The sequence below is a fragment of the Homo sapiens genome, chromosome 1 (genome assembly GCF_000001405.40).
Source record: "Homo sapiens chromosome 1, GRCh38.p14 Primary Assembly".
Taxonomy (NCBI): Eukaryota; Metazoa; Chordata; class Mammalia; order Primates; family Hominidae; genus Homo; species Homo sapiens.
In genome coordinates, this window is record NC_000001.11 from 49,405,762 (window position 1) to 49,422,087 (window position 16,326).

The 16,326-nt window shown below is 37.2% G+C and overlaps 1 protein-coding gene and 1 long non-coding RNA gene across 11 annotated transcripts in view, besides 1 other annotated feature; both read right to left on the bottom strand.

The window, feature by feature from the left end:
* The window catches only part of AGBL4 (AGBL carboxypeptidase 4), a 1,501,444-nt gene that overhangs the window by 883,251 nt on the left and 601,867 nt on the right, over window positions 1–16,326 (bottom strand). The gene's annotated exons all lie outside the window — the stretch shown is intronic.
* AGBL4-IT1 (AGBL4 intronic transcript 1) overlaps window positions 1–16,326 on the bottom strand; it is a 97,885-nt gene that overhangs the window by 31,561 nt on the left and 49,998 nt on the right. The gene's annotated exons all lie outside the window — the stretch shown is intronic.
* Window positions 1,136–1,351: a silencer, noted in NCBI's record as "fragment chr1:49872569-49872784 (GRCh37/hg19 assembly coordinates)". NCBI's record gives its function as "represses an EF-1alpha promoter that drives an FKBP-Casp9 reporter gene in an ReSE screen in K562 erythroleukemia cells {active_cell/tissue: K562}" and the evidence as "EXISTENCE:reporter gene assay evidence [ECO:0000049][PMID:32094911]".

The following is a 16,326-nucleotide window of genomic DNA, read 5'->3' on the forward strand; positions in this document are numbered from 1 at the left end:
TATCATGGGTGTGTGGAAGTAACAGTAAAAAACAAGATGTTTGCCAAATATTCCCTATGTTTCTGTCAGAATGCATCAGTACATGATGCCATTTGTATGGGAGTAGAGAAAACACTCTCCAACTCAATGTCATAATATCTGCACATTTGGAAGAATCCTATTGGAAGAAGAAAGGAGACTCAGTTTAGGAAATGCTTATTGATATGTTAAGCAAAGCCATTAGCTGTATAATTAGCCCTTACAACAACCACTATCCTTCAATTCTAGTCTCTGCTGCCCAAACAATCTTAACATAGCAGCAATGTATTCCCTAAAACGGGTCAGTGCAACTTTCCAAGAGGGAACTGTCTCACAGAAAGCATCCATGGTAAGCACTCTGGAAGAATGAGTTTAAATACCTAAAACCTATTAAAATGCTAACAAATTGTTGTGAGCAGACTGCCCTAGAGATTTGATTATTTTGTAGTGACTCTTAAAATATGTCTTTCCTAATAGGATTCAAATTCCACTGGTAATAGAAAAAGAGCCCTCAATAAAAATTTAAATCTGCTACTCCAATTATCCCATTTAAAACCAATGCAACATTTGGTATGATATTTATTTCATCAAAACCAATAATCTTACCTACAAATGTGATATAAAACAAAAGTCAACATGCAGATGGAGACTTTTATTCATGAAGATGTTCGTTGAAGCATTATTTATAACAAAGAAAATTGGCAGCAATTTAAATTACCAAGCAAAGGGTACATAAAATCCTATATAAATATATGATAATGTAGTTTTTATATATTTTAGTAGTGTGATAAATGTTTATACAATAATATGTGATAACCCAGTATAAAAAAATGGTACAGGTAATATAAGCTCAACTATACAAATGTGGTTTTAAAGACTGGAATAAAGATGTCAAAATGGTAGTGAAAAACTCTCTGTGGTAAAAGTATGTGATTATTTTTCTTAATCTGGCATTTTTTTTCTGTATTTTATTCAATATGATGTGTATATATAAAATAAATGCAGGCCAGGAGCGGTGGCTCATGCCTGTAATCCCAGCACTTTGGGAGGCCGAGGTGGGCGGATCACGAGGTCAGGAAATCGAGACCATCCTGGCTAACACGGTGAAACCCCGTCTGTATTAAAAATACAAAAAATTAGCCAGGCGTGGTGGCGGGCGCCTGTAGTCCCAGCTACTCGGTAGGCTGAGGCAGGAGAATGGCGTAAACCCGGGAGGTGGAGCTTGCAGTGAGCCGAGATAACGCCACTGCATTCCAGCCAGGGCGACAGAGTGAGACTCTGCCTCCAAAAAAAAAAAAAAAAAAAAAAAAAAGAAAGGACAAATTTTTTTCTTTTTACCTATTGTAACAGTTAATTTTATGTATCAAAATGGAGGGTATTTTTGGATAAGATTGATATCTAAGTCAATAAACTTTAAGTAAGCAGATTGTCCTCTATAATGTGGGTTAGCATCATCCAATCAAGTTAAAGGCCTGCATAGAAAAACAAAAGAAAGCAAAAACAAAAACATCAACCTCTCCTGCCAAGAGGGCATTGCTTAGCAGACTGCCTGTGGCTTTCATCTACACCACTGGCTCTTCTGGGTCTCTAGGCCATGGGCCTTCAAACTGGAACTGAGCTATTGGCTCTCCTGGGTTTCTGGACTGCCAAGTCACAGTGCAGATTTTAGACTTAGCAGCCTCCATCATCACGTGAGCCAATTCCTCATAATAAATCTCTTTCTATATATTTACACACTCAGTTGGCTCTGTTTCTTTGGATAACCTTGACTAATAGCTATACAGATTTTCACAGGTGGTAAGAAAGACAATATTACTTCTGAGATGATACACTTCCAAAGCAAAGTTGAATTCTCTCACAAAGGAAACAAATGATCTTAATTGTTCTATGTCTTGAAAAAAAAAGAGGAACACTTTTTAATGAAATCAGAAAGAATAGGAACTTTGGAAAAAATATGAATGCTCAAATAATTTTAGTCAAGATGAATTCAGTTCCAAGAAAAGATCCTAACTGCCTTGAAAGTGATTTATGAGGCATATCGGAAAGAGGAGGTTGATAGTCAGAACACATCAAAATGAAAATATCTGTATGATGTGTGTTCCTAATAACCCAGGTCTGTATTTAAATATAGCCAACAAATATCCAGTTGCAAATGTCCAGCCTTTACTGAGAAATTCCCTCAGTCTACAGTTGGCTAACCCTGCTCCCAGGTTACAGAATTCTGAGGTCACATTCCCAGCTCAGACACCCCATTTAGACAACTGACTTATTTTTCGCTTATCAGACTCTGGCTCTCTACTCTGTGCTCCAGTTTTGTGATTCTACTCCTTTGCCTGAATTCAGGGTTACAGCAGCCTCAGGTAAGAGATTGCTTCCTGTAACTCCTGTCCTAGACCCCAGAGACTCTAGAACTCTCACACAAGTAAGGAATATTGTGGACAACAGAGTAACAATTCATGAACCAAAATACTGAGAAATAAGCAAGAAAGAAAAAATGCATGTGATAACACTGTTATTTTTTAAATACCAAATAAATGCTTTTAGTACAATCTATTGTAAAGCACTTCGCAATCTATAAAATAAATTTATATCCATGTCTTCACTGATCTCACACTACCCTTGTGTGATGGTTAATACTGAGCATCAACTTGATTAGATAGAAGGATGCAAAGTATTGTTCCTGGGTGTGTCTGTAAGGGTGTTGCCAAAGGAGATTAACATTTGAGTCAGTGGACTGGGAGAGGCTGACTCACTCTCAATCTGGGTAGGCATCATCTAATCAGCTGCCAGTACAGCTAGGATAAAAGCAGGCAGAGGAACATGGAAGGACTTGACTTGCTGAGTCTTAGGGCCTTCATCTTTCTTCCATGCTGGATGCTTCTTGCCCTCACACATCAGACTCTGAGTTCTTCAGCTTTTGGACTCTTGAAATTACACCAGTGGTTTGCCAGAGGCTCTCGGGCCTTAGGCCATAGACTGAAGGCTACACTGTCAGCTTCCCTAATTTTAAGGTTTTGGGACACAGATTGGCTTCCTTGCTCCTCAGCTGGCAGACAGCCTATTGTGGGACTTCACTTTGTGATCGTGTGAGTCAATACTCCTTAATAAACTCCCTTTCATATATACATCTGTCCTATTAGTCCTGTCCCTCTAGAGAACACTGACTAATACACCTTGTGAGGAGGTGAGAGCAGAGATGAAATCTCCTTATTGTCAATGAAGGAATTAAGGCTTACAGAAGTTAAACAATATACCCTAGTCACATAATGCCAGAGGCCTAAACCAAATCTTTTCATTCTAAATCCCTTCCTTTCTCTGTCTTTTTCTGTCTCCCCTCTCCTTCCTCTCCATCAAACCCCACTCTCTCTGGCTCTCTCTCTCTCTCTCTCTCTCATTTATCCTCCAAGCTGGCAAACTAATGAAATTGATACCAATACTTTTTGTTGCAACCCACATATGTAACTTCTTAACACTACCACACATCTTGAAGCAAAGTGAGCTAGTGCCTATTTTTTAACAATTACACAATTCACATCTAATGAGGATTTGGGGGAAGAAATTAATCAGAAAGTGATACTTTTAGTGAGATCCTGATCAATACCATGCACTCAATCTAAAAGCAAGAGTCAGAGAAATGAGACACTTTTGGGGAGGGGAAGGAAGGCAGAAACAAGGAGTGAGGGATGGAAGTATATAATTTGTATTAAGCTAATAGGGGTGCAAACACAACCCAGAGACCTTAAAGAAGGCACAGCTGAAAAGTGAGGAAGAAAGGTGACAGAGCTACTTAGAGATTTCATGGTAAAGCAGAAGTCAGATAGGGCTTCATTTAAAATCTTACTCTGGCGCTGACTATCTTTGTCATCTTTCTTAAGTTAGTAAAATTGCGATTATTAATATTTCAATTTAATTGTTAAAAGACATTATTATCTATTTCAAAGGATTTATTTTTAAAAAAACAAGAAAATGGTAGAAAATCAATACGTGCTACTTTACTTCCTCTTAATGAACAAAAGTTTCCATTTTCTTTGATATAATTTCAGCTTCTCTGCACAGGAGGATAGGAATATTATAAATTCCCTAACTGAAGATCATCCCAGTCTGATTTATTCAAGCTCATATTGAAAAATATCTGGTCTGAGAGAGACAGAAGTATGGACAGGAAGAAGACATACAGAATCTTGAAGGCACTTTCTTCTTGAAACTAGGTAAGCAGTCCTACAAAATTTTCTACAGATGGATGTGTGGGTCCCTGAAGTACTACAATGTAGGAAACTGGTCCAGAAATGCCTAGAACACTCTGCAGGCCTCTCTATACCTCTTGTTGAACCCAAATGTACTTGAACCTCTTAAGGATGTATAATATGGGCCACAGGCACAGATGCACCTGTGTCCCTCATAGGGAGGGCAAAGCTGGCAGAGCTCCAGGATATGGCCATGTTGTGCTCAGTCGGCTGCATTCCCGAGCACGACTAGAAACCCGTATGCAGAAATCTATTTTGAGTTTCTGCTCACACCTGAAGACAATATGCTCCTAACTTTCTTCCCATGATATTTCCCTTCTACAAGTTTTAAAAACCAACTACTGCTTAGCCCGGCATAGTTTTAAGTTCTGGAATCCCTCTAACCTAGGTGTTTGAGGGGAAATGTGCCAAATATGAGGTCAGCAGGGGTTGTGGAAGGGAGCATTTTAACAGCTCTATGAGATGAATAATATTATCAACTAAATACAACAGCCACAACTTGAGCATAGCTAAGACTAGCCATGCTCTTTCCTCTGTATCAGTTGCTGCTATCAATTAGTCAGAAGGTGAAATAATTTGAAAACCACAAGAGGCCTATTAGAGCAGTGAACAAAGTTAATTCAGCTAGGTTCTAGCTCTCTTGATTTGCTGTCTTTCTTACAAGCTCCAAAAGTCTGAACCAACCTCTTCCTTTTCCTGGATCCATTTGTCTATGTATAAAATGCAAATTTGACAAAGTCATCTGTAAAATCTCTGATACATTGGATATGCTAGGATCCCTCACACCTTATGATGATGATGACAACAATGACAGTAACGTCAATGATGGCATGATACTCACTGCACTTATCAAATGCTTACTATATGCCAGATGCTGTACTAAGGGCTTTATAGTGAGTTACAAGCAAAGTAAGAAAGTGTATTAGTCAGGGTTCTCCAGAGGGCCACAACTAATAGGATATATGTATATATGCAAGGGAGTTTATTAAGGAGAATTAGCTCACACCATCGCAAGGTGAAGTCCCAAGAAAGGCTGTCTGCAAGGTGAGGAAGAAAGAAGCCAGCAGTGGTTCGGTCCAAGTCCAAAAGCCTCAGAAGTAGGGAAGTCAACAGTGCAGCCTTCAGTCTGTGGCTGAAAGCCTGAGAGACCCCAGCAAATCACTGGTGTAAATCCAAGAGTCCAAAGGCCAAATAACCTGGAGTCTGATGTCCAAGGGCAGGAGAAACAGAAGGAAACATCCAGCATGGGAGAAAAGATGAAAGCCAGAAGACTCAACAAGCCAGTTTTATCCCACCTTCTCCTGCCTACTTTGTTCTAGGCACACTGACAGCTGATTGGATGGTGCCTATCCACACTGAGGGTAGGTCTTCCTCTCCCAGTCCACTGACTCAAATGTTAATCTCTTCTGGCAACACCCTCATAGACACACCGGGAAACAATACTTTGCCAGTTATCTAGGCATCCTTCAATCCAATCAAGTTGAAACTTAATATTAAACATCACAGAAAGTTAAAGCATTTCAGACAGATGACACAGTATGTATAAAAAGCAGAAGTAAAAGAATAGCAAGGCTCTCAAGTAGTTGAAGTTCTATAAGAAATATATGGAATAAAAATAGTGAATCAAGGTCAGATAGTAATTCAATGTGACTAACACACAGAAAGGGGCAACCTCTTGAAATAAACTAAAGAATTAATCCTTTAATGTATATAAAATTAAGGTCATTGAAGAGTTTGAGCAGGACACTGACACAACCAAATTTGCTTTTAGAAAGATCATTTGGGGGACTATATGGAAGGCAGACTAGAGGGGAACACATTGGAAATAGAGATGATGGAAGTCTGAATGAGGGCAGTGGCAGTAAGAACCTGTGAAAGTAAGTAGATTTAAGAAATATCAGAAATCCAATATATTATTATCATTAATTGTTACAATGGTAAATTATATTTGGAAAATACTAAGTACAAAGTTTTTCTAGACCAATCAATTTCTCTAATTTGTTCATTCACTCATGTATTCATTCAAAAATATTTATTAGGTTCCTATTTTATGCTAGTTTTATTTTTCTTTTCATAAAAAAAATCTGTAGAAAGAAAATAAAATGAATGCTTCTTAGTCAGTTTGGGCTTCTATAACAAAGTACCATAGACTGGGTGGCTTATAAACACCAAAAATCTATTCTCACAGTTCTGGAGGCTGGAAGTTTGAGATCAGAGTGCCAGCAAGAGCATGTTCAGGTTCCAGTGAAGGTTCTTGTCCAGGCTGCAGACAACCAACTTCTCCTTGGATCCTCACATAGCAGAAAGACAGCAAACTAGCTCTTTGGACTCTTCTTATAAGAACACTAATCCCATTAATGGGATTAGTGAGTCTCCAGCCTCATGACTTAATCACCTCCCAAAAGCCCTCCCTCATAATCCCATCACATTGAGGGTTAGATTTTAATATATGAATTCGGGGAGGAGGGAACAAACAACCAGTCCCTGTATAACAGCCTCTAACTATTCACACTCATACCCAAATATGCTAGAAGTTTCCCCAGCATCATGCTTTTATATCACATTCTCCACAAAACAAACAAAAACAAACAAACAAAAAACCAAATGTTCTTCCTGTACTCTCCACTGGCCAGAAAATATTTGGAAAAGTGGAGTTGAACTTCTTAAGAGTATCTAGGAATGAAATTACATATCCAGATGGTATTAGTTTGTAGATAATAGTTGAAGTTTATATGAATTAAAGAGTATAAATGAGAAGAGTAGGGAGATTTTCTGAAGAGAGTACAACACTTAAGGGCCCTCAAAAGAAAAGGAGACTAAGAGGAAGAATGGGAGAGAGTAGATGTAGGTATAAAAGGGAAACCATGATGGAATATTACCAGGCAAGATAAGAAGAAGAGGAGGAGGAGGATTTATTGACAATGTCAAATCCTGGCAGTCCTGTGGGATAAGGTTTTAAAAGATGTTCCCAGATTTGTGAAAGAAGCAATTCTAATAGAATGGTGGAACTTGATACCAGAATGCAGTAGATTGAAGACTGAATGGAAATTTCGGAAGTAAAAGCAACTCTCAATAATTTTGGCCATGAGGTCACACAACCTGGTAGTGTCCTTTACTGTCTCATTGGGTGATTATGATTCAGTGAGGTTTAATAGGCAAAAAGGTAGCAGCACCCAGAATAGAGTTTAGCACTGAGTAAGTAATCAACACTTCATATTTGCATGCATTCAACATTTATTTAACAAATATTTATTATTTACCAAATTCCAGGTTCTGGGAATACAGTAATGAGTAAAAGCAGGTGTGACCTTGACCTCAAGGCATTTATGGTCTATAGTGTGTATGTGCAGGATAAGAAGGCATTAAACAAATAATCATACAAACAAAAGTAAAATTGCATCAGAAAGCAGTTTGAAAGAATTGTATATAAATATGAATGAGGAAGTTCCCTCCTGGCAACAATGGGTGGAATTGATTTGACCAATGCCTTTTCCTAGACCTGAGGGTGAAGCCCAAGTTGCAAAGAATAAAAAGTTCAGGTGGAGCTCTTTGCGGTCTTGACCTGAGCCTGTCTGTATGTCTTCCATGCCTGCAAAAGAACCTGACAGTCTTTCACTGGATCTGGCCAAATGCAGGTCAGATTCAGTAACCCTGATCATCGCTGGGCTTATCTGCAGCCACAACAATCACAATTTGCCTGATCTATACAAGGCTTGAATAAAATTATACATGAAAAATGCAGAGGTGACATTATGATGTAGTAAATAGAATGCTGACTTTGAAATCGGGGAAATCTTACTTCAAGTCTTGGCTCTTTCCCTTTCTAGTTATGTGATCTGTAACAGGTCATTTTATCTCTGAGCTTCAGATTTCTCCTCTGTAAATGAAGAGGATAACTAATACTCGGCCTAGTTCACAGAGTTGTTGAGAACCTGTAATCCTCAAAATACAAATAAAACAAAAAAAATCAGAATCTCTTTATTAGGCAGGATCATAAAGGTCTTATGATCCAGTTACAATGTTTGTGAAAGCACCTTAAAAGGTAGAATAATGAGAAAAGGTGAAGAAATTATCCTTAAGGTTCTATACATTCTCCTCTAAAACCATATGTTTAAATACATGTGTATGTATACATACGTATATATTTATAAAATTGTATATGTAGACACATACACATATATATAAGCCCATATAGTGTAGTGCTATATTGAACTCACATTAATAGAAAGGAATCTATTTCAATTACCAATTTTATGGGTTGGTGAGTAAAAGGGAAATACATGAGAAAAAATGAAAGTTGCACCATTCACTTTATTTATTTTGATAAGATCTGTTTAGCTGTATTGTTAATCATGCTTCCAAAATACCAATAAATGGACCATACTCTAGTTTGTAATTTAAAAAGTCATCAGCAACATGCAGACTAGCTTCTTAAATATTTTTGAAGTGAAATTATCCATAATGAGGAATGATGGACACCGGTTTTGAGAGAATTACTACATCTGTCAATGGTTATATGCAATGAAAACGGGCCTACTGCTTAAAACTGATCAAAGGAATATGGCAAAGCGAGGTTAATGCTCTAGTCTCCATGGAGCTACAGGCTTAAGCACCATTGCTATAAGAGTGGTGCTCATCTTTAAGAAGCCATGAAGAATGTAGGGGGAAAGAACTAGTTCTGGATACACAAAGGCTAGGTTCAAATCACAGATCTATCACTTACTTAACCTCTTTCTAGCTCTGACTCCTAATCTGCATAGTGAGGACAATAATAACAATACACTCTTCATAGGCTTATTGTGAGGATTAGATGTATGTAAAGTATTTAAAACAGTTCCTGGGACATAGCAAGCCCTCAGCTAATGATAGTTGCTATTTTTATTTTGGGACAGTATGCAGTGTTAGCTATAAGGATGACAATAATATTTACTTGAGTCTGAGGCATCATCAAATGCTAATCCAACCCCATCATTTTTTAGATGAGGAACCTGAGGCATAGAGAGGAGAAATGATTTATCTGAGGTCATGTAGAAAGTTAATAGCAGATCTGGAAACAGCATCCAGGTCTCTTAATTCCCAATTCTGTACTCTTTCCTACTTCTTCGCTAGCCCAAGGACTGTCTCTGTCCCTCTGCTCCGATACATGTTACATTATGTCAAAAGAGAGGAACAGACACTATGCTGATTAGAATTATTTTTGTCTTTATATCTCCTACTACATTTTGAGCTCCTTAAATGGAAGGACTGTATTACTTATATCAGATAATGCAGCACCTAGCAGAGTGGTGCAACAATGTTAATTGATTGCTTTAAAATATTCAATAGAATAAAAGATGAAATAGTAAGTATGCTCTGAGGGTGGTAAATGTAATAAGTTTCCATAAGAAGTTACTTCTAGAGGTTTGTTAATTGGAGATGGTGTTAGAATAGAAAAAGCATTGAACTTCATATCAGGGAATATGGATTCTAAGCTTGAACCTGCTAATAACTAGGTGAATTTGGACTGAAGTGACATTAAAATGTAGGGAGGATGAGGGAAGTTCAACAGAAATAAAACTAGAAAGGTAGGTTCTAAAGAACCTTGAGAGTCAGGCTAAAGAATATGAACTTTATCCTTAAAGCAAAGGAGAGTGAGAGATGGATTTTAAGGAGGTTAATGACATGATCTGGATAGTATTTTAGAACTATCACTCTGACAAGTATGTGAAAAACAAATTAGTGGGAGAAAGGCTAAAGGTCAGAAAAATTACTTCTTTTTAGCAGGTTAAAGTATTGAGGCTTAGAGAAAGAAGTTAAGTGAAAGTAATTTGCTGAAAGTCAGAAGTAGAATCAACATTCAAAATAAGATCAAGAAATGCCAAAACCTGTGTCTTCCCACCATACCCCAACACCCCTCAGATAAAGAGCTTATAGGACATGCAGAAACCAGGGAGTTGCATGGAACGATATTCTACACAACCTTGCCTTTGGGAGAGGACATTATCTGGTTAAAATGGATTATCCTTGGATTTATCCAGGGGTCAATGTCAAAAATATCAGCTTTCCAATGAGGTAAATTTTGATTATATGAATATAGTCTTTGTTAAGGACACAAAAATGGTTTGCTGTTGTTTTTTTCTTTCAAAAGAACCGGTACATTTTGTTATGTTTATATACTAGTCAAATTAAGAGTTAAAAATTGATCCAGATGATATTTATACATGTGGTAATATAAAAGGCATATATGCATATGTATGTGTGAATAGACGTATACATTGTGTGCATACCTGTAGTTAAACCAGATGCAAAGGTATTACCAAATGTTTGAATTTAGAACATCAATTATGATTTGGTGGAAAATTTCTAAATTTAAAATCAGTAAACTTGGTTCATATCTCAGTTCCACATCTTACTAGTTATGTGATTTGTGGTATATTCTTCATATCTTGGAGCCACTATTTCCTCATCCATAAAATGGAAATAATTATGGGGTTGCCATGGAGATCAGATGACATATGTGAATATGCTTTGTAAATGGCCTTAGATAAATGTTACAACATAATGTTTAAGAGTTTAGGCTGTGGAGTAGCATTCAATGCTAGTTCAGCTAGTTATTTAATGTGATACTTTGGGCAAGTCATTTAGCTTCTCTGAGCTCGAATTTCTTCATATGAAAAATGAGGCTCATAATAGCTTTTACTTCATAAGTTTATTGTAAGGATTAAATCAGTCAATATATATAAAGTGTATATATTAGTTAATACAGATAAAAGTATGGCCTGGAATTGAGTAAAAGCTCAATGCATGTTCTGTATAGTATTTATTATATGGGCATGTAAGGCAGCTGACTCACACCTACATGCAACAATGGCAAAAAATAAATACAAGAAAAACATGAATACATTAAGGAAATGGAATATGATTGTTGAAATAATAAAACTAAAAAGACTAGGTGAGTCAGAGATCTAAAGCTCACTGCTCCATGACTAAGAGATTTAACCTAATAGTATCTTCACGCACTTTCACCCACTGTATTCTGTGTTCTGGGTCCATGGGCCACAAATGATGCAGACATGTGTTACAATTGACAATAAATTAAAGTCTCAGGTCTATCCCTTCAGTGTGAAGGAGAAACAAGTGTCATAGGCTATGATCAGAGAAGGCATCTGAGGAAACCTGTCCTGAAAGAAAAATGACCTTGGAATTCAGTGCTAGAAACAAGCAAGCTGTTTTTCAAAGCTAAAGGAGGTTAATCAAGCAGTTCATTAAACTAAAGGAATACAGAAAAAAAGCGATCAGAAAAGAGAAGGAGAAATGGAGAAACAGAAGGCTCAATGAAGAACTAGTTTTACAAACAGTTGGCCTGCTGTGGAGTCCTTTTGCTGTGCCAGAAATTTGTTCTTAATATGAGTAAAACAGAAAAACAAATCAAAATTCCCTCAACTGATCCAAAAAGGGCATTCATATAAGGGAGAAGGAGATCAATAGTAGTTGATTAGGATAAACTGGAGTTCTTTTGCAAGGGAGGGCTAAAGTGGATGATTGACTAGTTCAGTTTTAAGAGACTAGAGAGATATAATATGGCATGGTCTAAAATATACCCATATAGGATCTCTTCTAAGAACTTCCTAAGGATTGAAACAAGAAATGGGGTTTTTGAAACCTCATAATGTGTCCCATTCTTCCCCTTGTAACTTTGCAATTCATTGGAATGATGTCTTTAGGTTAAAATACATTGCTTTTTATGAGTCTTCATATAGCTGAGTTTTTTATTTGACATGCAATCAACTACAGAAGCAATCTTACCAGAGAAAGCAATTCAGAACAGTCAGTAGTTTAAAGCTATGCAAAAGTGAAGGTTTTATTGCAGCTTTAGAATTATGCATTTCATTTTAATTTTCTAAATGGATCCTCTGTATAATATGGTCCACAGTAGAAAGGAGACTTTTCAGCTTTAGTTTGTTACACCTAGATTCATGTGTACATGTTTATTGTTTGTTTTATTTTTCATATGCACACATTGAAGGCAACACAGAAAGGCCATTCCAAGTCTTCCCTTGGATTACCTTTTTACTGTAACTTTAGCTTTCTAGTCTAGCTAAATTCCAGTCTCATAACCTTTGGGTAGCTCTGCAGTTTTATGTCTATAATTCTGCATTCTCCATACCCCTACTTATCTAAGCCAAATCTGTCAATATCAGGGACTAGGCTAAATCCAGCTGTTGGAAAATTTCTAATTGAAATGAAAGTATAAGAAAGAAAGTAACATTTAATGGCCACCTGCCACATCTCTTTAAGTGGTAGGAGCCTTCACATTGATTATCACCTTGACTGCTTTCAACAACTCTGTGAAATAGATACTGTGACAAGAGCTATGGTTATAAAAATGAATAAAACATATTCAGGTCCCTACCCTCATGGAGTTCGTAGTCTAATAGAAGAGACTGATATTGAGTGAATAATTCAAAAACCATTTAATTATACAAATAAAATGTGCTATGAATGGACTAAGTAGTAAAAGAACATGTAACAACAACAACAAAAAACCAAGACTCAGTGGAGTCAGGGACAATTTTCTTGTAGGCAATTGAACTAAAATATAAGGATTTTACTGGATGAAAGTAGGAAATAGACTGTGCATTTCAGGCCAGGAGAACAGCCTGTGATCCCCCCTGTGCTTAAAAGACATGTGCTCCAGTTAAAGGACTGAAAGAAGGCTAGTGCCACAGACTGATAGGCAAAGTTCATGGGGGAGAAAGTTATGAGGTAAGTCTAAAGATGTAGGCAAGTGCTAGTTCATTAACGGCATGGTAGGCCTTGTAAGGAATTTCTCTTTGTCCCAAGTATAATGGGAAGGCATTAAAGCTATTAAGCAGGGAGGTGACATTAACAGATTTAAAAAATGTTAAAATATCATTATGGCTTCCTCATAGATAATGGATTTTAGAAGGTTAACAGTGGATAAGGAAATATAAGTTAGAAGACTATTAAACTAGCCCAGGTGAGAGATGATCAGACTTTAATTAGGAAGGGAAAGGATGGAGATAAATTTGAGATGTAGTAGAAGGCAAAATCAATAGATCTTTGTAACTGACCAGATAAGTAAATATTCTTCTTTACAATACCAAAGCAATATACAAAAATATTAGTATTATAATATTTTACATATTAAGTGTTCTCCCAGATAAATAGTGTATTGGGTCATCTGTTACTGGTGGCATATCACACAACAAGTATTATATGCAGTGCTCTAGTTGGCAAGTCAAATGTAAAACAAGTTCTACCTTCAAGAAGTTTATGACTTTGGAGAGGAAATATAATATTACAGTAGCTGAAATCTTGACAACAATTCTGTGATATCGGTAACATAGTTCACATTTTACAACTGCATATGTTAAAACCTAGAGTACTTATCAAACAAATGTGATACATATGGAATGGCAGAGACTCCCAGCTCCACTCTCTTTTCATGACTTCCTTAGCCCTTGTTTCTCAGAATGAAAAAAAATATTTTCTGGATCCCTGCTGATATCTTCTGGGACCCACCAGTCATCTCCCACGTAGGCATCTATTCAACAAATGAAATCTCAAGTAGTCCCATTGGGAGGTTTTACATTTCAGTTGGAGATCAGCAGCGTAGTATGTATTCTATCCCAATGGACAAAATAAACAGATTAAATCCTTATCCTCAGTGTTCAAATTTTTGCCCAAGTGACATAAATTTAGGTAATAATTCCCTGTGAACTAAAATGGTTACTCAGAAAAATACTATTAGGTATAAATACAAAAGCTGGAGACAAGGTTGGTGAAATGGGTACTATCAAGACTGAGTCAGCCTGCTCCACAAGTGCTGGCTTAGGAGGGGATAGGATCCCTGCATAGGTGATATAAAGTCTTGCTGTTCAAAGTGTGATTCTTGAACCAACAGCATCAGCATTATTTGAAAATTTGTTAGAAGTGGAGAATCTCAGCCCCTGTAGCAGGTTTAAAGAACCAGGATCTGTGTTTTAACAGGATGCCTACTGATTTATAAACACAATGAAGTTTAAGAAGCACTGATATAAAGTACACCCAAAGGAATCTTCACCTCTAATAGCACAAATGACCTGAAATTCTCCCAATAATACTTTCTATTTATCCAACTTTTGGTCTTCTTTTACTCTTCCTTCTGTAAAGACAAAAATCTCTCGGGATTGAAACAGGCTGATAAAGATGAAAAGGCATGACATGTGAAGTCAGATATACAAGGGTTGGCATTACAGTTCTATATCAAGGTATGAAATTGGGTGTATTGCTAAGAGTTTCTGGGACTTAGTTTGCCTCACTCCAGAATAAGAGTAACAAACTAGTCTTGACAAATCTACAAGAGTGGGATAAACATCTAAGAAGATAATGAATGTAAAAGTGCTCTGTATTGGCCGGGTGCAGTGGCTCACGCCTGTAATCCCAGCACGTTGGGAGGCCAAGACGGGCGGATCACGAGGTCAGGAGATTGAGACCATCCTGGCAAACACGGTGAAACCCCGACTCCACTAAAAATACAAAAAAATTAGCCAGGCGTGGTGTTGGGCACCTGCAGTCCCAGCTACTCGGGAGGCTGAGGCAGGAGAATGGCATGAACCCAGGAAGTAGAGCTTGCCGTGAGCCGAGATCGCACCACTGCACTCCAGCCTGGGTGACTGAGCGAGACTCCGTCTCAAAAAAAAAAAAAAAAGTGCTCTGTATTTATTTGTATGATATGCAATTATTATTGCTATTGTTACTATCAAGAATAACTGTATCATTCACTCATTCAGTCAGTCGTCAAATAGCTATATAGCTAGAACCTAATCTGTGCCATATCCTGTGCTAGATGCTGGGGATAATGAGGTGCATAAGACAGCTATTCCTTACTTTAAGGAGTTCTCAGGCTTGTGGTAAAGAACATAAGACATCATGTAATTATTAATGCCCTAAAAGAGGTACAGAGCAATGCTAGAACACAAGTAAGTCTCTCAATGCTTAGATCACTCTTATTTCTCACTATAACAAATTCTAAGGAAACATCCTGTGTTTGGGTGGAAAGCATAGGAAGACAGCTGATTGGAATATTGACTATACCACTTAAAATCTTGAGTAAAAATCTTAAACATCTCAAAGCCTTAGTGTCTCTGTATATAATAATACCTGCATCACTGAGCTAACCAGAGCATAAAATGAATGTAAAAGGGCTAAGTGAACCATTCATTGTTGGCCATTCATTCATATGCTCAAGTACAAGCACTTGATTTCAAGCCAAGCACACAGTAGTCTCCCTGAGGATACAGGAATGAAAAATGACTCTGTTGTCTTCAAAGAACTTTCAGTCAAGTACACAGTTGTAACAAATGCTACGGGGGGCGGGGGGAAGCTGTGGGTACTATGTCATAAAATAAAAGAAACATAAAACATTGTCTGAAAGTGAGATGGAAGGGGTAGGCTCAGGAGAGCCAGCTTTGAGAAATGTTTTGCATCAATGTCGTGTTTTCAATGTTTGTTATCAAGCAAAAATAAAATTGACAAGAGAAAAAACGAAGAAATAACCTAAGCAAGAAGAGAGTTGAGTTAGCAGTGTCCAATGAGTCAAAATAAACACTAATAATAATAATAGTTAATGTTTATTAAGCATTTATTAAGTGCCAGGCATGGTGTTAAATACTTTAAATGTATTCTCTCTTTTAATTCTACCTGTATTAGTTTGCTTTTGTGGACTTGCCTGGAAACTTATGGTACTTTCCCATCTCTTGACTTTCTCTGCCATCTTTTCTACCATGAAATCCTAGATTTGTCTGCCAAGTTTCAAGATAAACACTATTGGTCCTATTTTAACTTCCTTCCCTCCTGCCTTTCCCCTAAGCACCGTTTGACGCCCACTCCACCTCCAGTTCTATCGATATAGATTCCACATTTAGATGTACTATTCATTTTTCTCATATTTAAAAATGGTCCAAGAAATGTGTCTTTCATTGCAGTAACTCCTGTTTTGAAATCCCTCTCTGAGCCAAAAACTTTATTTCTTCCTAAGAGAGATTCTTATGTAGATAGACTTTGGTCTTAATCAATTCAT